The sequence below is a fragment of the Homo sapiens genome, chromosome 22 (genome assembly GCF_000001405.40).
Source record: "Homo sapiens chromosome 22, GRCh38.p14 Primary Assembly".
Classification (NCBI taxonomy): domain Eukaryota; kingdom Metazoa; phylum Chordata; class Mammalia; order Primates; family Hominidae; genus Homo; species Homo sapiens.
In genome coordinates this window covers 31,398,175-31,421,051 of record NC_000022.11, presented here as the reverse complement: position 1 = coordinate 31,421,051, position 22,877 = coordinate 31,398,175, and the positions used below count along the sequence as shown (strand labels likewise).

The 22,877-nt window shown below is 44.8% G+C and overlaps 1 protein-coding gene across 1 annotated transcript in view, besides 3 other annotated features; it reads right to left on the bottom strand.

Annotated features, from left to right (window-relative positions):
* The window catches only part of DRG1 (developmentally regulated GTP binding protein 1), a 34,849-nt gene extending 13,401 nt beyond the window's left edge, over positions 1 to 21,448 (bottom strand). The window contains exons 1-5 of the mRNA NM_004147.4: positions 21,327 to 21,448; positions 20,309 to 20,432; positions 17,848 to 18,023; positions 9,971 to 10,040; positions 627 to 796 (exon numbers count right to left, since the gene is read on the bottom strand). Coding sequence (NP_004138.1) covers positions 627 to 796; positions 9,971 to 10,040; positions 17,848 to 18,023; positions 20,309 to 20,432; positions 21,327 to 21,368 — 582 coding nt within the window. The 5' untranslated portion in view covers positions 21,369 to 21,448. The remainder of the gene's footprint in view (positions 1 to 626; positions 797 to 9,970; positions 10,041 to 17,847; positions 18,024 to 20,308; positions 20,433 to 21,326) is intronic.
* Positions 20,516 to 21,421: an enhancer, noted in NCBI's record as "H3K27ac hESC enhancer chr22:31795617-31796522 (GRCh37/hg19 assembly coordinates)". NCBI's record gives its function as "activates a minimal SCP1, AML or CMV promoter by ChIP-STARR-seq in primed H9 embryonic stem cells {active_cell/tissue: H9 hESC(primed)}" and the evidence as "EXISTENCE:reporter gene assay evidence [ECO:0000049][PMID:30033119]".
* Positions 21,339 to 21,388: an enhancer, noted in NCBI's record as "active region_18857". NCBI's record gives its function as "activates an Ori minimal core promoter by ATAC-STARR-seq in GM12878 lymphoblastoid cells {active_cell/tissue: GM12878}" and the evidence as "EXISTENCE:reporter gene assay evidence [ECO:0000049][PMID:35858748]".
* Positions 21,509 to 21,788: a silencer, noted in NCBI's record as "silent region_13631". NCBI's record gives its function as "represses an Ori minimal core promoter by ATAC-STARR-seq in GM12878 lymphoblastoid cells {active_cell/tissue: GM12878}" and the evidence as "EXISTENCE:reporter gene assay evidence [ECO:0000049][PMID:35858748]".

Here is a 22,877-nt window from a genome sequence, read left to right as displayed (position 1 = left end):
GCTACTCAGGAGGTTGAGGCATGAAGCAAATGCTCTTCTTCAAGATATCCACTTGGTTCACACCTTCATGTCACCTCAGTAAAGACTTCCCTGACCAACGTTCTTAAAACTGCAACCCTCACACCAACACTCTTATCTCCTTTCCCTACTTTGTGTTCTTATATTTATCATTGACGAATACATTATATTTTACTCATTAACATTGTTTTCTATTCTATCCAATTAGAATATAAAAGCAGGGGGTTTCACTATTCCCTCTTCCATTCCTGCCCAGAGCCTAAAATAATGCTTGGCCCGTGGTAGGCACTCTATAAATTTGTGTTAAATGAATGAAAACAGAAGATATTGGCGGCCATCTACTTTATGCAAGCATAATATTGGTCCACACGCCCATATCATTCCCAATAGATAATCCAAAAGAGGAAATAAGTAGCAAAGGTAAGTCTGAGACTGGCTCCTATCCTAATCTTGAAGTTTTTCTTGTCAGTCATTATAAAGTCATTGTGTTATCTCAATTAGTGCAGGGAAAAGCCAGGAAATTTTCCAATGTCAGGGTCCATGCACCCCAATCCACTCCCCATTCCAATTCCTGCAGCAGCCTGCCCCATGTCATATTCCCCACTTACAGTGGCTGTGAGATTAATGCCTCCCTTGTCCTTCTTCTTAAAGCCAATGTTGGGGGGTTTGCTGTTCAAGCGAATGCCAAAGCCTTCCAGCTCATTTTCAATTATCTTCTTATGTCCCAAAGGTTTCAGGACATCCAGAACAATCAAGATCAAGTTACAGGTTCGGGCCACTGAAGAGTAAGAAAAAAACATACGCAAGAAAGTTCAATAAAGCCTTAACTAACCCAAATACTCAAGTAGAGGTGTTTTTTCCCCCTACATTTAAGTGTCAAAGGATTTTTCTGTAATACATACATGCATACGTGAAGTTCTTATAGCTACAGAAGATTTATACCAGAAGTCAATTTGCTTTGTATGCCATGAAATCAGCACCTATTTGCCCAAGAGTTGACACATTTTCTGTTGCCCAGGCTGGAGTGCAGTGGCACAATCTTGGCTTACTGCAACCTCTGCCTCCCGGGTTCAAGCGATTCTCCTCCCTCAGCCACCCCAGTAGCTGGGACTACAGGCACATGCCACCATGCCTGGCTAATTGTATTTTAGTAGAGACGAGGTTTCCTCACCATGTTGCCTGGGCTGGTCTCGAACTCCTGAGCTCAGGCAATCCGCCCACCTCAGCCTCCCAAAGTGCTAGGATTACAGGCATGAGCCACTGCGCCCACCCTTGGTTAGCAAATTTTTAACCAAATTTATTGAGGTACAATTTTTTTTTAATTGTATCCATGTTAAAGCACACAGTTCAATAACAAATGTATATACCTGTGTAACCACCAAACCAATCAAGACATGGAATATTTCCATCACCTACAGCATTCCTTTGTGCCTCCTTTCAATCTTCCCCACTATTGCCAGCCAACCACTGATCTGCTTTCTGCCACCATAGTTTGCACGTTTTAGAATTTCATATAAATGGAATCATATAAAATATATTATTTTGGCCTAGCACAGTGGCTCATGCCTGTAATCCTAGCACTTTGGGAGGTTGAGGCAGAAGGATTGCTTGGAGCCAGGAGTTTGAGACCAGCCTGTGCAACAAAGTAAGATTCAATCTGTATAAAAAAAAAAAAAAGTAGTCTTTTGTGCCTGCATATCTTATTTTTATTAATATATATTTATATTGACAGAGACAGAGTCTCGCTCTATTGCCTAGACTGGAGTGCAGTGGCATGATCATAGCTCACTGTAGCCTTTAACTCCTGGCCTCAAGCAATCCTCCTGCCTTGGTCTCCCAAACTGCCGAGACTGCAGGCATGAGTCACAGTATCTGGCCTTTTTCTATATTAAAATTCATTTGTCAAAAATCCTGCTTCCAGCTGGGCACGGGAGCTCATACCTATAATCCCAGCACTTTGGGAGGCTGAAGCGAGAAGATCACCTGAGGTCAGGAGCTTGAGACCAGCCTGGTCAACATGGTGAAACCCTGTCTCTGCTAAAAATAGAAAAACTGGCCGGCGCAGTGGCTCACGCCTGTAATCCCAGCAGTTCGGGACGCTGAGGCAGGAGGATCACAAGGTGAGCTGATTGAGACCATCCCGGCCAACATGGTAAAACCCCATCTCTACTAAAAATTCAAAAAATTAGCCGGATGTGGTGGCACATGCCTGTAGTCCCAGCTACTTGGGAGGCTGAGGCAGGAGAATCTCTTAAACCCGGGAGGCAGAGATTGCAGTGAGCTGAGATTGCGCCACTGCACTCCAGCCTGGGCAACAGAGCGAGAATCCATCTACAAAAATAAATAAATAAATAAATAATTAGCTGGCCATGGTAGTGGACACCTGTAATCCCAGCTACTCAGGAGGCTGAGGCACGAGAATCACTTGAACCAGGGAGGCAGAGGTTGCAGTGAGCCGAGATCATGCCACTGCACTCCAGCCAGCCTGGGCAACAGAGCGCCATCTCAGAAAAAAAAAAATATTCTGCTTCCATCAACTTTCTAGTTCCTCATTTTTTAAAATTCTCTTTTTTGAAGAGACAGGGTCTCGCTTTGTCACTCAGGCTGGAGTGCAGTCGCATGATCATAGCTCATTATAACCTCCACCTCCTGGGCTCAACTGATCATCCTGCCTCAGTCTCCTTGAATATCCGGGACTACACATGTGTGCCATGTCACATGGCTATTTTTTTCTTTTTTTTAATTTTTATTTTTGTAGAGACAGGGTCTTGCAATGTTGCCCAGGTTGGTCTCGAACTCCTGGCCTCAAGTGATCCTCCTGCCTCAGCCTCCCAAAGTGCTGGGATTACAGGTATGAGCCATTGCACCTGACCCTGACCCCTCATTCTTTTTTTGAGATGCAGTAGAGACAGCATTTCACCATGTTGTTCAGGCTGGTCTTGAACTCCTGACCTCATGATCTGCCCACCTCGGCCTCCCAAAGTGTTGGGATTACAGGCGTGAGCCACCATGCCCAGCCTCAGTGGTAGACTTTTTTTTTTTTTTTGAGATGGAGTTTCACTCTTGTTGCCCAGGCTGGAGTGCATTGGTGCGACCTCAGCTCACAACCTCTGCCTCCTGGGTTCAAGCAATTCTCCTGACTCAGCCTCCCAAGTAGCTGGGATTACAGGCATGGACCACCACTCCTAGCTAATTTTGCATTTTTAATAGAGACAGGGTTTCTCCATGTTAGTCAGGCTGGTCTCAAACTTTCAACCTCAGGTGATCCGCTCGCCTCAGCCTCCTAAAGTGCTGGGATTACATGCATGTACCACCATGCCCAGCCTGATTTTATTTTATTTATTTTATTTTTTTGAGATGGAGTCTTGCTCTGTCATGCAGGCTGGAGTGCAATGGCGTGATCTCGGCTCACTGCAACCTCCGCCTCCTGGGTTCAAGCTATTCTCCTGCCTCAGCCTCCCAAGTAGCTGGGACTACAGGCATGCATCACCATGCCCAGCTACTTTTTGTATTTTTAGTACAGACAGGGTTTCACCATGATAGCCAGACTGGTCTCAAACTCCTGATCTCAAGTGATCCACCCCCCTCAGCCTCCCAGAGTGCTGCAATTACAGGCATGAGCCACCAAGCAGCCATGATTTTATTTTTATTATTATTATTTTTTGACACAGAGTCTTGCTCTGTCGCCAGGCTGGAGTGCAGTGGTGCAATCTCGGCTCACTGCAACCTCTGCCTCCCAGGTTTAAGCGATTCTCCTGCCTCAGCCTCCCGAGCAGCTTGGGACTACAGGCGCGCACCACCACACCCAGCTAATTTTTGTATTTTTAGCAGAGACGGGGTTTCACCACCTTGGCCAGGTTGGTCTCGATCTCCTGACCTGGTGATCCACCCGCCTCGGCCTCCCAAAGTGCTGGAATTACAGGTGTGAGCCACCATGCCCGGCCTTATTATTATTATTATTTTTTTTTTTGAGACAGGGTGTCTGTGTGCTGCCCAGGCTGCAGTGCAGTGGCATGATCATGGCTCACTGCAGATTGACCTCCTGGGCTCAAGAGAACCTCCTACCTCAGCCTCCCGAACAGCTGGGACTACAGAAGCATACCACCACATCCAGCTATTTTTTTTTTTTTTTTTGAGACAGAATCTTGCTGTCACCAGGGTGGAGTGCAATGGTGCAATTTCCGCTCACTACAACCTCTGCCGCCTGGATTCAAGCGATTCTCCTGCCTCAGCCTTCTGAGTAGCTGGGACTATAGGCACACGCCACCATGCCCAGCTAATTTTTATATTTTTAATAGACACGCGGTTTCACCATGTTGGCCAGGATGGTCTCGATCTCTTCATCTTGTGATGCACCTGCTTCAGCCTCCCAAAGTGCTGGAATTACAGACTATGGAATTACAGGTACCTGCCACCATGCCTGGCTAATTTTTGTATTTTTAGTAGAGATGGGGTTTCACCACGTTGGCCAGGCTGGTCTTGAACTCCTGACCTCAGGTGATCCACCCACCTTGGCCTCCCAAAGTGCTGGAATTACAGACTGTGAGCCACCACACCCGGACGGCCAGTGATATCTTAAGCCCAGTGACTGAAGTGATAGAAAAGGAGGTCAGAGAGGCAGCCAGGGGCCAGGTCATTTACCGTAGCTTGTAAGCTATGTTAAGACTTTGGGTCTCATCCCAAATAATATGGGAAAACATCAGAAGGTATAGCCAACAAATGACATGATCTGACTTCTTTTTTTTGTTTGCTTTCTTGAGACAGAGTCTCACTCTGTCACGCAGGCTGGAATGCAGTGGTGTCATCTCACCTGACTACAACCTCCGCCTCCCAGGTTCAAGTGATCCTCCCATCTCAGCCTCCCAAGTAGCTAATTTTTGTATTTTTAGTAGAGATCGGGTTTTGCCGTGTTAGCCAGGATAGTCTGGAACTCCTGGCCTCAAGTGATCTGCCTGCCTCTGTGCTGGGATTACAGTCATGAGCCATCGTGCCTGGACTGATCTGACTTCTTATACACAATCATACTAGCTGTAGTGAGAAGATACTACAGAGCAGTAGGATAGCAGCAAGAAGGCCAGTTATGGGGCTATAATGTTAGAGACAAGGCATAATGAAGGAAGTGACAATATAGGTGAAGAGTTTGCAGTCACTACGAATCAAAGGGGAAAAAAAAAGAAGGTGTTGGGGAAAGTGACCCATTATACAGAGAAAATTAAAATTGGATACCCTTCTAATATCAGATATAAGAGTAGTCTCTAGGTAAATAAAGGACCTAAAAGTATAGAAAAAACAGGAGACTATATCTAAGACCTAAGGAAAGATAAGGACTTCTTAAATAAAACTTTAAAAGCACAAACCATAAGAAAAAATAAAGAGTAGGCCAGGTGCTCACACCTGTAATCTCAGCACTTTGGGAGGCCGAGGCAGGCGGATCACTTGAGGTGAGGAGTTCTAGACAAGCCTGGCCAACATGGTGAAACCCCGTTTCTACTAAAAATACAAAAAAATTAGCCAGGCGTGGTGGCACACACCTGTGGTCCCAGCTACAAATAAAGTGTAGATTCTAACAAAATTAAGGATTTTTATTCAACAAATACCACCTTGGACAAAATTAACGGGAGAAGATATTTATAATGTCTAAAGATGACAAGGAATTAATATCGAGAGCAGTGGTATCCAATAAAAGTTTCTGTAATAATGAAAATATTCTGCATCTGTACTGTGCAATACAGTAGTTACTAGTCAAGTGTAGCTAATAAACACATAAAATGTGGTTTACATAATTGAGGAACTAAATTTTAAATTTTATTCAATTGTAATTAAATGTTAGTCACATGTAACTAGTAGATATCATATTAGACATAGAATTTAAGAGAAATACTTGAAAAACAGTAAGACAACAATCACTGCCTAGGCAATATATCGAGATTCTACCCCTAAAAAAGTAAAAATCAATCAGCCTGCCATGGTCGTACATGCCAGCAGTCCCAGCTACTCGGGAAGCTGAGAAGAGAGAGACTCTCGAGCCCGGGGTTTTCGAGACCACCCTGAACAACATAGTGAGACTGTCTCTCAAAAAGTAAAAAATTAGCGGGTATGATGGTACATGCCTGTAGTCCTTAGCTACTCAAGAGGCTAAGAAGGAAGGATCACCTGATCCCAGGAAATTGAGGCTGCAGTGAGCTGTGATCATGCCACTGTACTCCAGCCTGGGCAAGAGAGCAAGATCCTATCTCTAAAAAAAAAAAAAAAAGAAAATGTGCCATGAACTGAGAAGCATGATTAACTCAACCTTTTGGTAGAGTTTCCTCCTTAGCATAGTAGCCAGCATGTCAGTCACATAAGTTTTTCACTTAAGGATGAAAAAGGGGGAAAAAAAGAGTGGCTGGCCTCTAGATATATTTCAAAGGTAAAACCAGCTGGATATAACAACACAGTAGATGTGCGGGATGAAAGGGAAAAAAAGATTTGACCTAAAAGTTCTGAAGGATAAATTTGCCTTTACTGAGATAGAAAAGACTAAGGGAAGAGCAAGTTGAGGATGGGAGATCAAGAATTTTTTTGTTTTTTAATTTTTAAATTTACTTTCATTTTTTAATAGAGATGAGGTATCACTATGTTGCCCAGGCTGGTCTCAAACTCCTGAGCTCAAGTGATCCTCCCGCCTCAGCTAAGATCAAGAATGTAATCTTACACGTTAACTTTGAGACACCTAATTAGACATCCAAGCAGAGATATGTTGGCAGCTGGTATGCACTTCATCAGAGGGCAAATTACTGCCACACATTTCATAATCATTAGAATATAGATCCAGACATTTAAAACCAAAGAACTAGATGAAATAACTCTCATTTGGCATAGACAGAGCAGAGACAGAGAAAAAAAGAATCTCCAAGATTAGGTGTTGGGGCAATCCACATTTAAAGAGTCTGATGATGGGGCAGATCAAGCAAAGGAGACCAGGAAGGGGCACTGGTGTCAGAGATCAGGTAAAGCAAATACTCCAAGGATGGAGTGATCAACTGTGTTATTCTCTTTAGAAAGATGTGGACAATAAATTGGCCATCAGGTTTGACAACAGGGAAGTCATATGTGTTCTTGTTAAGAATAGACAGGTGTCGGGAGGGCCCGGTGGCTCACCCCTGTAATCCTAGCACTTTGGGAGGCCAAGGTGGGTGGATCACCTGAGGTCAGGAGTTCAAGACCAGCCTGGACAACGTGGTGAAACCCCATCTCTACTAAAAATACAAAACTTAGCCAGGCGTGGTGGCAGGTGCCTGTAATCCCAGCTACTCAGGAGGCTGAGGCAGGATAATGACTTGAAACCGGGAGGCAGATATTGCATGAGCCAAGATCGCACCATTGCACTCCAGCCTGGGCAACAGAGTGGGACTCCATCTCAAAAAAAAAAAAAAAAAAAAAAACCCACAATAGGTAGGAGTCTAAGAGAAAATAATGCATCCATGAAACAAGAATAAGATGCTAAAAAAAGGAAAAATCAGAAGACAGAAACAAAGTCTTAGAAATTAAAAATAATACTAGAGCAGAAATACACTCAATAGCAGGATTAGAAGACAATGCTGAGAAAATCACATAAAGAAAAAATTAAGAGACAAAAGATAATTTTAAAAAATTAAAAGGGCCAAGTGCAGCAGCTCACACCTGTAATCCCAACACTTTGGGAGGTCAAGGCAGGAGGATCACTGAGCCCAGGGGCTCAAGACCAGCCTGGGCAACAGAGCAAGACCCCTACAAAAAAATTTTAAAAATTAGCCCACACGGTGTTGCGTGCCTGTAGTCCTAGCTACTCAGAAAGCTGACATGGGAAGATTGCTTGAGCCTATGAGTTCATGGTTACGGTGAGCTACGTACAATCAGGCCGCTGCACTCCAGCCTGGGTGACAGAGTGAGACTCTATCTTTATAAAAAAAGAAAATTAAGAAAATTATAAACCCAGAAGTCCAGCATTCTATTAGCAGTCCTTCCATAAATAAGGAACTCAGAAATAGAGGCAATTATCAAAGAAAACAGGAAAATCTTCCATAAAATGAAAGATATGAGTCATCATGCTGAAAGAGTCTACCACACCAGGAAAGGGAGATGGAAATTAAAAATAAAAATAAAAAAAAGGCAACCCAGGCAACATGGCAAAACCCTGTCTCTACTAAAAATACAAAAAAATTAGCCGGGTATGGTGGCACGCACCTGTAGTCCCTGCTACTCGGGAGACTGAGGTGGATAACCTGAGTCCAGGGAGTCGAGGCTCCAGTGAGCCGAGATCCCACCACTGCACTCCAGGCTAGGTGATGGGAGTGTTTCAAAAAAAAAGAAAAAAAAAGGCTCCACCAAATATCCAGCAAAATAAATCAAAGAAAAGAAAGAGAGGGCCAGGCACGGTGGTTCACACCTGCAATCTCAGCACTTTGGGAGGCCGAGGCGGGCGGATCACGAGGTCAGGAGATCGAGACCATCCTGGCTAACACGATGAAACCCCATCTTTACTAAAAATACAAAAAATAGCCGTGCATGGTGGCGGGCGCCTGTAGTCCCAGCTACTCAGGAGGCTGAGGCAGGAGAATGGCATGAGCCCGGGAGGCGGAGCTTGCAGTGTGCCAAGATGGCACCACAGCATTCTAGCCTGGGCGACAGAGCGAGACTCCATCTCAAAAAAAAAAAAAAAAGAAAGAAAGAAAATAAAACAAAGAAAAAGGAAAAGCCCAAACCAAGAATTAGTTTGCTGAAGTAGCTTTTTTTTTTCTAACACAGAGGCTCACTCTGTTGGCACGATCTCAGCTCACTGCAAGCTCCACCTCCCGGGTTCACGCCATTCTCCTGCCTCAGCCTCCCAAGTAGCTGGGACTACAGGCGCCCACCACCACTCCCGGTTAATTTTTTTTTGTATTTTTAGTAGAGGCAGGGTTTCACTGTGTTAGCCAGGATTGTCTCGATCTCCTGACCTCGTGATTTGCCCGTCTCGGCCTCCCAAAATGCTGGGATTACAGGCGTGAGCCACAGTGCCCGGCCTGAAGTAGCTTTTAAGATCTTCCAGTGAGGGAAAAAAGTTGGTTTTTTATCAAAAAACAAAAAAAAGTTCTAACTATTGGACTCAACAGCAATAGTAGATGCTAGAAGATAGCGTTCTTCAAATTTCTGAGGGAAAATGACTTCTAATTTATAATTCTATAAATAGCCAAATTAATGACTCCAGTACAAGGGTAAAATAAAAATAACCTTCAAACATGAAAGGACAGCACTCTGGGAGACTGAGGCAGGCAGATCACTTGAGCTTCAGCCTGGGTAACATGGTGAAACTCCGTCTCTACCAAAAAAAAAAAAATTAGCCAGGCATAGTGACACACCCCTGTAGTCCCTGCTACCTGGGAGGCTGAGGTGGGAGGATCCCTTGAACCCGGGAGGCAGAGGTTGCAGTGAGCCAAGATTCTCCCACTGCACTCCAGCCTGGATGACAGAGTGAGCCACTGTCCCAAAAAAAAAAAAAAAAAGAAAAGACAGAAAAATTTAACTGTATCATTCATCTTCTCTGGGGAAGTTATTAAAGAATGTGCTTCAGCAAAACATCCCAAAAAAGTAGACACTGCCTCTAGGAAACAGAAGATCCCACACAAGAGCAGAAAATCTCAAGACGACAGCCATATAAAATGTCTAAAGCTGCATTGTCCAATACAGACTCCACTAGCTCCTTAATTGTACTAGGCACATTTCAAGAGCTCTATACCCATACATGCCTAGGAGCTACAATGTTGGACAGCAGAGATTCAGAACATTGCTAACGTTGCAGCTGAGGTCCCTTCAAGCTTCAACTTAAATGAGAAGTCAGGTGAAACTATGCCCTTCACTGTGGTATAATCTCCAAGCCAAGTAGTCCCTGACTAAAAGAATAGTACCAGAGAAGGGAATGATATCCCAGGATGGTGGCACTTAAACCACTCACCTGCAATGACTTGACGACCTCTACCTTTCCCATCCTTGGCACCTTCAATGATACCTGGGAGATCCAGGAGCTGCAAGATTAAGAATGGGGGAAGAGGATGAAAGAAAAAACTGGTTATAAATTTGAAAATATCAAACAGAATTAATTTATTTCTCAAGTACCTATAATTTATCAGACCCAAATCCAATCTTCCTTATAAGCGAGTGTGTGAATATTACTTTTAATAAGCACCTACTAAATGTCAGCTACAGGCTTTTTTTTTTTTGGAGATGGAGTTTCATGCTTTTTGCCCAGGCTGGAGTACAACGGCACAATCTCAGCTCACTGCAACCTCTGCCTCTCGGGTTCAAGGGATTCTCCTGCCTCAGCCTCTCAAGTAGCTGGGATTACAGATACCTGCCACCACGCTGGCAAACTTTTTTGTATTTTTAGTACAGACGGGGATTTCACCATGTTGGCCAGGCTGGTCTCAAACTCCTGACCTCAGGGATCCACCGGCATCAGCCTCCCAAAGTGCTGGAATTACAGGCGTGAGCCACCACGCCCAGCCTATAGGCGTTTTTTGTTTGTCTGTTAGTTTTGGGAGATGCCAGCCTATAGGCGTTTTTTGTTTGTTTGTTTGTTTTGGGAGAGGAGTCTCACTCTGCCGCCCAAGCTGGAGTGCAGTGGTGCCACCTCTGCTCACTGAAACCTCCACCTCCCGGGTTCAAGCGATTCTTCTGCCTCAAATTCCCGAGTAGCTGGGACTACAGGTGCACGCCACCACGCCCAGCTAATTTTTGTATTTTTAGTAGGGACGGGGTTTCACCATATTGGCCAGGCTGGTCTCAAACTCCTGAACTCGAGATCTGCCCGCCTCGACCTCCCAAAGTGCTGGGATTACAGGCATGAGCCACTGCACCTAGGCCGGGCTTTTTATGTACCTTACCTCCTTGAAAATGCCTAACAACCCTGTGAGATAAGGATACTAGCTGAAGTTCACAGCAGGTAAGTGACTTGTCCAAAGTCATAGTCCTAATAGGTTATAACCCATGTTTTCTAGCCAAAATCCATTATTCTACATTATTTTTTGTTTGTTTGTTTTTAAAAGACGGAGTCTCACTCTGCCACCCAGGCTGGAATGCAGTGGCGTGATCTCGGCTCACTGCAACCTCTGCCTCCCAGGTTCTAGCAATTATCCTGTCTCAGCCTCCAGAGTAGCTGGGACTACAGGGCATATGCCACCATATCTGACTAATTTTTTGTATTTTAGTAGAGTCAGGGTTTCGACGTGTTGCCCAGGCTGGTCTCGAACTCCTGAGCTCAGGCAATCCACCCACCTCAGCCTCCCAAAGTACTAGGATTACAGGAGTGAGCCACCATGCCCAGCCAATTCTACATTAATATTTTTCAGTGTTCCCCCACTTTTCAGAAGGCTGAGCCTCCATATAAATTCCTTACAGCAGGTATCAGCTGAATCTTGATATTTACATATGATACATATTGCAATTTCTGCAAATCCCCAACTCACAAAAATTTTTGTAGCCGTTCTTAAGCAGGCACAACCGAATCACCTGGAAAAACTTTTAAAATGTAGAGAGCTGAAACCCATCCCTGCAGATTCTGATTTGAAGGGCCAACAGATAGGGATCTGTACTTCAAAAGGCTTTACAAGTGACTCTGATGTATGTCCCCAGTAAAAAATGACTGCTCAGGCTGGGCCCAGTAACTCACACCTATAATTCCACAGCACTTTCCCAGAGGCCGAAGCAGGCAGATTGCTTGAGCTCAGGAGTTCGAGACCATCCTAGCCAACATGGTGAAACCCCGTCTGTACAAAAAATACAAAAATTAGCCGGGTATGGTGGCACACACCTGTAATCCCAGCTACTCTGGAGGCTGAGGCACAAGAATGGCTTGAACCCGACAGTCGAAGGTTGCAGTGAGCCGAGATTATGCCAGCCTGGGCGACAGAGTAAGACTCCATCTCAAAAAATAATAAAAATAAATAAATAAATTTTAAAAGATTTTAAAAAGATAAAAATGACTGCTCAACTGCCCAGGAAATGCAGTAAGGTAAAACTTCACAGAACTCAGTGTACCTAATGATGTGATTGAAAAACCAACCCCACAGCACATGTGATTCAAATTTACATCTCAGCAAAATTATAAACTATTAATTTGACTGCCCTTAAGAATCAGTCAAAACAGTTAAAACAAATATAAAATCTAAAAATACCAAGGGTCTACTGTATGGCAAATACTGAATTATACACATAAATGAACTGAAAACAGATGCAGCTTATTAAAACATCACTTAAAATATCTTTTTTTTTTTTTTTTTTTTTTTGAGAATGAGTCTCGCTCTATCGCCCAGGCTGAAGTGCAGTGGTGCAATCTTGGTTCATTGCAATGTCCGCCTCCCAGGTTCAAGCGATTCTCGCACCTCAGCCTCCTGAGCAGCTGGGATTACAGGTGCTCGCCACCATGCCCCACCAATTTTTTTTATGTATTTTTAGTAGAGACAAGTTTTCACCATGTTGGCCAGGCTGGTCTCGAACTCCTGACCTCAAGTGATCTGCTCGCGTCAGTCTCCCAAAGTGCTGGGATTATAGGCATGAGACACAGTGTCTGGCCTTGCTTTTTCATAGGGATTCTCAGCTGGGCATGGTGGCTCAAGCCTGTAATCCCAGTACTTTGGGAGGCCAAGGTGAGCGGATCATCTGAGGTCAGGAGATCAAGACCAGCTTGGCCAACATGGTGAAACCCTGTCTCTACTAAAAATACACAAAAAAATTAGTGGGGCGTAGTGGCGGGCACCTGTAATCCCAGCTCCCTCAGGAGGCTGAGGCAGGAGAATTGCTTGAACCCAGGAGGCAGAGGTTGCAGTGAGCTGAGATCACACCACTGCACTCCAGCCTGGGCAATGAAGCAAGACTCTATCTCAAAAAAAAAAAAAAAAAAAAAAGAAGGAAAAAAAGGGGAGTCTCGCTCCATCACCCAGGCTGGAGTGCGGTGGTGTGATCTCGGCTCACTGCAACCTCTGCCTCTCAGGTTCAAGTAATTCTCCTGCCTCAGCCTCCCGAGTAGCTGGGATTACAGGTGCCCGCCACCATGCCCCACTAATTTTTTTTGTGTATTTTTAGTAGAGACAGGGTTTCACCACATTGGCCAAGCTGGTCTCGATCTCCTGACCTCAGGTGATCCGCTCACCTCGGCCTCCCAAAGTGCTGGGATTATAGGCTTGAACCACCACGCCTGACCAAAACATAATTTAAATCAGATATGCTTTGCTCTAAGAATATAAGAAATTACAGAAATATACTTTGCATTAAATAAACTGCAATGAAAACTGATTTAGCAGGTGCGAGACAGTTCAACTTCTCCATTCAAGAACGTACTCAAAAAAAAAAAAAAGAAAAATGAAAATAAAAAATAAAAATAAAACAAACAAAAGAACATACTCAGGCCCAGGACAGTGGCTCATGCCTATAACCCCAGCACCTCAGGAGGCTGAGGCAGGTAGACTGCTTGTGTGCAGGAGTTCAAGACCAGCCTGGACAACATATTGAGACTCTGTCTCTACAAAAAAATAAAAAATTAGTCAGGCATGGTAGTGCATGCCTATAGTCCCAGCTACTTGGAAGGCTACGGTGGGAGGATCACTTGAACCCAGGAGGTCGAGGCTGCAGTGAGCCATGATCGTACCCGTGCCACTGCATTCAGCCTGGGTGACAGAGCGAGGGAGAATTACCATGAGGCAAAAGTACAATAATAACTGTTACAGACAAGACCCACAGATGGATGCGAAAATGAGCAGGCAAAAGTTTGAGGAAAAACAGGATTTGCATCTTCTTGAAGTATCTCCCCTAAAATATATATTAACTGTCCAAAAAAAGGTAACTTTAGAGAAACCCTACAGACACAACCATAACCAATTGATGGAGGACAATATCACCAATAAGACATACTGACAATATGAATCCCATGGTAGGAGGCACTGAGAAAGACAGTATCATTTCTGTGGTATTCTTGCCAAAAATACCTAATAAGTCTAACCAAGAGAAAACATCACACAAACCCAAATTGAGGAACATTATACAAAATAACTGATCATTACTCTTTGAGAGTGACAAGGTCACAAAAGATAAGACAGAGACTACTGCAGATGGCAAACAAATAGACAGAAATAGCTAAATGCATCATGGGATGATCCTAGATAAAAATTTTAGAAGAGAAAAAGGACACTGGTGGAAAAAACAGGTAAAAATTAAAATAAGATCTATAGTTTAGTGAATACTGTTGCAGAAATGTTCATCTATCTCTGATAATTTTTCTATGGTTATGTAAGATGTTAACAACAGGAGAAGCAGGCAAGTGATACGAGAACTCTTTGTACTATGTTTGCAACTTTTTTTTTTTTTTTCCGGGACAGGGTCTCATTCTGTCGCCCAGGCTGGAGTGCAGTAACACGATCTCGGCTCACTGCAACATCTGCCTCCCAGGTTCAAGCAATTCTCCTGCCTCAACCTCCCTAGGAGCTGGTATTAAAGATGCCTGGCTAATTTTTTATTTTTAGTAGAGACAGGGTTTCAACATGTTGGCCAAGCTCAAAAAGTTTATACAAAATGAGAGAAAAAAAGACCACGAGAGAGAATTAAAAGCTCACCAACATGAATGCAAAATTATGCAGAATGAAAGAAGCCTATGGAAAAGAAAGTGCATTTATATTTATATGTGGTTTTTGTTTATGTAAAGTTCTTAACATGTAAACTAATCTACAGTAACAAAAAGCAGGTAAGTGGCCAAGCGCAGTGGCTCACACCTGTAATCCCAACATTTTGGGAGGTCGAGGCAGGCAGATCATGAGGTCAGGAGTTCAAGACCAGCCTGGCCAACATAGTGAAACTCCGTCTCTACTAAAAATACAAAAATTAGTCGGGCATGGTGGCACATACCTATAGTCCCAGCTACTCAGGAGGCTGAGGCAGGAGAATCACTTGAAGCCGGGAGGAGGTTGGAGTGAGCCGAGATTGTGCCACTGCACTCCATCTTGGGCAACACAATGAGACTTCGTCTCAAAAAAAAAAAAAAAAGAAAAAAGAAAAAAGAAACGGCCAGGCATGGTGGCTCACGCCTATAATCCCAGCACTTTGGGAGGCCGAGGCGGGTGGATCACCTGAAGTCAGGAGTTCGAGACTAGCCTGATCAATATGGTGAAACCCCGTCTCTACTAAAAATACAAAATTAGCTGGGCATAGTGGTGGGCACCTGTAATCCCAGCTACTTGGGAGGCTGAGACAGGAGAATCACTTGAACCCGGGAGGCGGAGATTGTAGTGAGCCAAGATCACGCCACTGCACTCCAGCCTGGGCAACAGAGTAAGACTCCGTCTCAAATAAAAAAATAAATAAACCCCCCCACACACACACACATGCCCAACAGTATGAGCCTAACTGATGTTAGCAAGAACTCAAAAGGATAATCTACATGAATAATCTAAAACTGTTCAAAACTGGAATATGACTATAACTTCAAAAAGATCATCTGAAAGAGAGAATGAATAAACTGAGGGAAAAAGGGCAAGGGCTTTCTAACTGTGGCAGCTGAACACAGGCAGAAAATTTATTAAGGCCCGGCCAGGCACGGTGGCTCAAGCCTATAATCCCACCACTTTAAGAGGCCAAGGCATGTGGATCACAAGGTCAGGAGTTCAAGACCAGCCTGGCCAATATGGTGAAACCCAGTCTCTACTGAAAATACAAAAATTAGCCAGGTGTGGTGGCATGCGCATGTAGTCCCAGCTACTTGAGAGGCTGCGGTAGAAGAATCACTTAAATCCTGGAGGCAGAGGTTGCAGTGAGCCGAATCACGCCACTGCACTCCAGCCTGGGTGACACAGCAAGACTCTGTCTCAAAAAAAAAAAAAAGAAAATTTATTAAGGCCTCTACAAAAGTAAAGGCAACCTAAATTTAGCTTTTCTTCAGAGGGAAATATTTTAAAAGTTAGGCTGAAGAATTTAAATGTAGCAACTAATAATTCAACATTCAATAACAACATTCAATAAAATAGTCAATGCCTAATAAGTAACATTCAATAAAAAGTCAATGCTTTATATATCCGAATTTCATGTTACAACCAACCAAAACCTAAAAAAAAAATATTTATTTAAATCATGGGGCCTGGTGCAGTGGCTCACGCCTGTAATCTAACATCTTGGGAGGCCAAGGTGGGCAGATCACTTGAGGTCAGGAGTTCAAAACCAGCCTGGCAAACATGGTGAAACTCCGTCTCTACTAAAAATACAAAAAAATTAGCTGGGTGTGGTGGCATGTGGCTGAAATCCCAGCTACTCAGGAGACTGAGGCAGGAGAATTGCTTGAACCCTGGAGGCGGAGGTTGCAGTGAGCCGAGATCATGCCACTGCACTCTAGCCTGGGAGACAGAGCAAGATGCTGTCTCAAAACAAAACAAAACAAAAAAACATGGAATTACACAATTTTAAGGAATTAAATGTTAAACTACTTCAAACTCCAATGCCTTTAGAAGTTAAAGCAGGCGAGACCAGGCGCGGTGGCTCACGCCTGTAATCCCAGCACTTTGGGAGGCTGAGGCAGGAGGATCATGAGGTCAGGAGTTCGAGACCAGCCTGACCAACATGGTGAAACCCCGTCTCTACAAAAAAATACAAAAATTAGCCAGCCATGGGGGTGCGTGCCTGTAGTCCCAGCTTACTCGGGAGGCTGAAGCGGGAGAATCACTGGATCCCAGGAGGCGGAGATTGCAGTGAGCTGAGATTGCACCACTGCATTCTAGCCTGGGAGACAGACTCTGTCTCAAAAAAAAAAAAAAAGAAGATTAAGGATACCCACTAGTAAGCTTACATAACTTAGTTTCTGGAGAAAGCCAAAAGAGGATGAAAAACAGAGGCAGAGGACAAAGGGAGGAAAGAGAGCACCATGCAAAAAAAAAGTTGGGGGTCTCTAAGGTCAGAAGACACTGAAATGAGTGAAGGTTTTCTGGGAAAGAGGAGAGGAGTTAAGCAACTCTCTATTTTGAAATACTCAAAAGTCCTGAGAGAGGTGTCAATAGCATCCTACCAAAAAAAAAAAAAAAAAAAAAAAGTTATTCTCTTGAGCTGCCAAAGCTGTGACTCTCAACAAGACTCTGAAACCAGCTAGAATCAAGCCATGGTCCAGATATGTCCACACTGCTTCATTCTTGTTATATACATTTGGACACGGGATCCCAGAAAGGGACATGTGTCTCTGCATGGGCACCTGACCAGCTGGAAAAAGGGTCATTAAAAATACAACCAGGGGGCCGGGCGCGGTGGCTCACACCTGTAATCCCGCATTTTGGGAGGCCAACGCGGGCGGATCACAAGGTCAGGAGTTCGAGACCAGCCTGACCAGCATGGTGAAACCCCATTTCTACTAAAAATACAAAAAATTAGCCCGGCATGGTGGTGCTCACCTGTAGTCCCAGCCCCCACCCTCAGGTGAAAAAGTAGTTCAAGCGATTCTCCAGCCTCAGCCTCCCGAGTTGCTGGGATTACAGGCATGTGCCACTACACCCGGCTAATTTTGTATTTTTAGTAGAGATGGGGTTTCTCCATGTTGGCCAGGCTGGTCTCGAACTCCCGACCTCAGGTGATCTGCCCGCCTTGGCTTCCCAAAGTGCTGGGATTACAGGCGTGAGCCACTGCGCCCGGCCCTTTCTCTGCATTTTCACATGCGCTATCCCATTTTATTATCGTACTGCTCTATTTCCCCTACCAGGTAGTAAGTGCCTGGTAGATCAAAGATCAGGCCTGGCATACAGTGAGCTCCCAATAAACTTCTTCCTAAATGAAGAATAGATTTCTTTCCTTCCTTAGTCTGCAGGCTTGACTCACCTGGATCTTGGCACCTTTGTATCTGATGACACCAGGCACAGTGGTCAGAGTAGTGAATTCATAGGCTGCCACCTCAGAATATACCCCTGCCAGGTTACTAAGCAGTGTTGACTTCCCCACAGATGGAAAACCAACAAATCCAATTCGAGCATCACCTGTCTTGGCCACATCAAAACCTAAAACATCAATGAATACCAAAAAGAGGAGAGTTATCCCCCAGAGTGTTAAGACTCATATAACTTCTTTCACATTTTTACTGCCTATCCCTCTAGGCACTATTTCTCAAACTTTTTATGGTTTACCTTTAAAGGAGAACTAAAGCACACAAAACTTGAGGGCACAGCAATTCACAAAATTCAATGCAGTGTTTGATATAAAAAAACTGTATTCAAAAAAGTCAGGCACAGTGGCACACATCTATAGTCCCTGCTATTCCAGAGGCTGAGGCAGGAGGATCTCTTGAGTCCAAGAATTCAGGTCAAGCCTGAGCAACATGGCAAAACCCTGTCTCTACAAAAAATACAAAAATTAGCCAGGCATGGTGGCATATGCCTGTAGGTCTCAGCTACTTCAGAGGCTGAGGTGGGAGGATCGCTTGAGCCCAGGAGGTTGAGGCTGCAGTGAGCTGTGATCACACCACTGTACTCCAGCCTGGGCAACAGAGCAAGACCCTGTCTCGAAAAAAAAAAAAAAAAAAAAGGTACAGCCCAAATATATGTATGAAAAATGATCCAAAAATAGAGTTGTTAGCTACTCTACCTATGGTGTAGCCCTGCTCTGCCTATGGAGGAGCTGCCCTTTTATAACTAAAATAAACAAATTAATTAATTAAAAAGAGTTTTGTTTTTGTTTTTTTGTCTTTCAAATTCTGTAAATTGTATGACTGACTGGGTTTTCTTTTTTTCTTTTTTCTTTTTACAATGGCTGCCAACAAGTTCAGAGTCAAATCTGTGGCCCTTCTCTACCAGGTGCACAGATCTTACGCCATTCCTTTTAGTCCTAAATCTTATCTCGCTTGGCTTCGACTTATTTTTCCTACGTTTTCCCTTTGCATCAATTTTTTTACTTATTTTTAATCTTGTTGATGATATAGGTTTACATTTCTGTAAGCCAATATAAATCTACTTTGGTTTTGTTTTTTCTTTTTTTTTCTTGAGACAGAGTCTAGCTCTGTCACCCAGGCTGGGGTACAGTGGCATGATCTCGGCTCACTGCAACTTCCACCTCCCAGGTTCAAGCGATTCTCCTGCCTCGGCCTCCTGAGTAGCTGGGATTACAGGTTCGTGCTACCATGCCCAGCTAATTTTTGTATTTTTAGCAGAGACGGGGTTTCACCATGTTGGTCAGGCTAGTCTCGAACTCCTGACCTGTGATCTGCCCACTTCGGCCTCCCGAAGTGCTGGGATTACAGGAGTGAGCCACCGCGCCTGGCCCTACTTTGGTTTTCTTAAGATGAGATCTCGCTCTATCACCCAGGATGGAGTGCAGTGGTGCCATCACAACTCACTGCAGCCTCAACCTCCTGGGTTCAAGCAGTCCTCCCAACTCAGCCTCCCAAGTAGCTGAGACCACAAACATGCACCACCATGCTAGGATACTTTTTTTTTTTTTTTTTTTTTTTGAGACAGAGTCTAGCTCTGTAGCCCAGGCTGGAGTGCAGTGGTACAATCTCACTCACTGCTACCTCTGCCTCCTGGGTCCCGATTCAAGCAATTCTCCTGCCTCAGCCTCTCAAATAGCTGGGATTACAGGCATGCGCCACCATGCCCAGCTAATTTTTGTATTTTTAGTAGAGATGGGGTTTCACCATGCTGGCCAAGCTGGTCTTGAACTCCTGATCTCGTGATCCACGCCTTGGCCTCCCAAAGTGCTAGGATTACAGGCGTGAGCCACCGCACCCAGCCTTTTTTTTTTTTTGGTACATCTTCTTTCATACCTATGGGGACCCCTCATTTCTAAGCCCATAGAGACAGGGCTTTGCTGGTTCCGAACTCCTGGCCTCAAGCAATCCTCCCGCCTCAGCCTCCCAAAGTGCTGGAATTACAAGGGTGAGCCACTGCACCCAGCGCATGTAAATCTATTTTGTATCAGTGCAGGATATAAATAAAACTACAGTACACTTAGACAATATTCATTTGCCTCTGAAACCGGCAGAATAAAAATAAACACAGTTCAAGAATTCATGCTTAGAAAATATAAATCTACTTTAGTAGAACATCTTTAGTTATTTTTCTGTTTTTAAAAAACTTTTTTTTTTTTTTGAGATGGGGGTCTATGTTGATCAGGCTGGTCTTGAACTCCTGGCCTCAAGTGATCCTCCTATCTCAGCCTCCCAGCATGCTAGGATTGCAGGCGTTGAGCCACTGCACTGGGCCATCTTTAGTTATTTTTAAACCACATGTATGTACTATTTTGACAAAAATTATACCTAAAAATATATATATTGAAGAAGAACACAAACCTTCTCCTGGACCTCCACCACCACCACCCTTTGGAGTAATGAGTTCTCGACGAAGCTTAGCAAGACGAGCCTTAAGCAGCCCTAAGTGGTGTGCTGTGGCCTTGTTCTTTTGAGTCCGAGCCATCTAAAAGGGAGGAATCACAGCCATAAATTAGAAGCAGTGAACGCTTCCCCCAGCTTTGAGAGGATAATTTTTTTCCCCAAGTCCTACTAATGTTAGCACACCCAGTTTACAGGCTTTAAAAGAGTAAAAGTCCATTATCTCCTCCATCCAGCTCATTTCCCTCACTACAAAGCAAAGCAAAGCCCAAAGAGGAAAGACGATTAAGGTCATTCCAATTAGTGCCCCCAGACTAGACTGAAACCCGTCTGCGGGTTCCTTTTCTACTATTTGCAGCTGTTTGGATCCATCTAACACTGGGACACCACTTTCCTAATTGTAAAGCGCTCTCAGGGCCGCACGCAATGGAATCACACACTATCCAGGCGGAATAAACTGCTCCCACACAGATGTCATTTTACTTCCAGATCCGATTACCGGGAGCAAATACTCTGAATCAGGGGGTCATTAGGGTAGACACTGGGAAAAGGGGGAATAAGGGGGACGCAGCGAAGGATGATGAGGAAAGATCCTGAACTATCTGACCAAGTCAGAGATGGAATAAGGGACAGGATTCAGTGTTTCTCAGAGCAAAACGGAAAGAAACAACATCAGAACAGGAGCCAAACACTGGGAGGGGGAACGGACTAAGGGCCTAAGGTGCAGGGGTGCGGAACGCGGGCCCGGGCAAAGGGGAGTCCGAGAGCGTAGACGCGGGACGAGGGGAAAGGGGGCCCTGACTGAGGAGAGTCGGGGACTCCTAATCGTGGCAGAGGGCAGTCGGAACACGGGCCTCGCTGAGAGAAGTCGCGGAATCTAGGCCCGGTCCTGACGCGGCTCAAAGGAGAACAGGAAGGAGCGACGCCACCAAAGAAGGAATGCTCAGACTAAGAGTGAACCGCCAGCTGCGTCCATTACCTCTGCTTCTATCTCCGCGATCTTAGCTAAGGTGCTGCTCATCGTGGCGAGTACCCTGTGGCCTCCACACTGTCTCCCTTCACACACCCGCGGGCAAACTGCCACCGCCACCAGGCGCTACTGCAGCACGCAGGCGCGGTACTTCGAATTACCGCGAGAGAGTTCCGCGTAGGGGTCACCGCGAGTCGCAAAGCGTGGGGCTGTCTCCTCCCCCTCACCCGACCCCGCCCCGTCCCGCGAGCCAGTGCGGTGTCATAGAGCCCGCGGGAGCGGAGGCCAGAGAGGCCACCCCTGTCTGGGCCTCCCCGAGCGCGCCGAGGGTCGCGCGCAGCTCGGCCCCGCCCAGCGGGACCCGCTCCCAGCTGCTCTGCATGGTACTGAACGCTTCAGTGCTGGAGACCCCAGGGCGTGGTGCAAAGCCGACTCATGCTCCGCACCCCTGTTCCTCGCCAGCATCTGCGGGTCCTGGGTCCCTTTTTCACAGCTGGGGTGACACCCCGACGCCCTCCATGGTCTTGGAGGGAGTAGAGACCCATCTTCAGCCTGCCTCACCCCCTTGGATAAAGAAAATGCCCCCTTTCTATCATTCAAAATTATTTTTAGGTCGGTTTTGTTTACTCCGAACCCCGAGTAGAGCACATGGGGAGCCCAAAATAAGTGCATACTTGAATGGATAATTCCCAGAGAACTGCTGCTTGCAACATAGTTTGTAATACCAAAAAATTGAAATCTATATTAACACCCATCAGTAGGAAAATGGATAAATGAATAATGCCTCTATCCTGTTTTTGAAATATGATTACAGCCGTTAAAACGTAGATCTGTGGTCTGACTGGCTACCCAGGACATGTTAAATGGGAAAACAACTAGCAGAAGGGCACCTACGTAGTGATACCATTTATGTTATTTTTAAAATTAAATGTACATTTATATAGGTGTACGTGTATGAACGTGCAGTTTAAAGGCCTAAACAGAAAAATACATCAGAAGCTCTTAACTGTGGGATGGGATGCAAAGAAAAGGCCTTTCACATTTTATTCCACAGAATTTTGAAGTTAAATTTTTACAAGACGAATGTATCCATGTATTACTTGTGTAATAATAAAATTTAAAATTTCAAAAGACTCCTCTTCCCCAAGTGTCATGAGGAAGCCAGGACGTCCAGGAACTATGTGGTGGTTTTGAAAGCGGTTTGCCTCAGGATCAATGGGTTGTTTTGATAGATTGATTATTCCAGCGGGAGTCGACAGGCCAGGCTTAACCCACAGTCGACAGGCCAGGCTTAACCCACAGGGCTGGCCTCCACCCAGCCCTGGGAGGGAAGTTTAATTTAGTTAAATTTGTAAACAAGAACTATTCTAACTTCCCAGAGACAAAAAAGGGAGGTTTTCTTGTGCATAAAGAGGGAGAAACAGAAGGGAAAGCTTTTACAGAAGGTCCCCAAAGGGCCAAAGAGAGTTTCTTCTTTCTTTTCTTTAACCTCAGCCTTTTTCATAAATAAATTAAGGGATGATGAGGTAATTAGATCCCACACTATTAGCAATGGAGGAG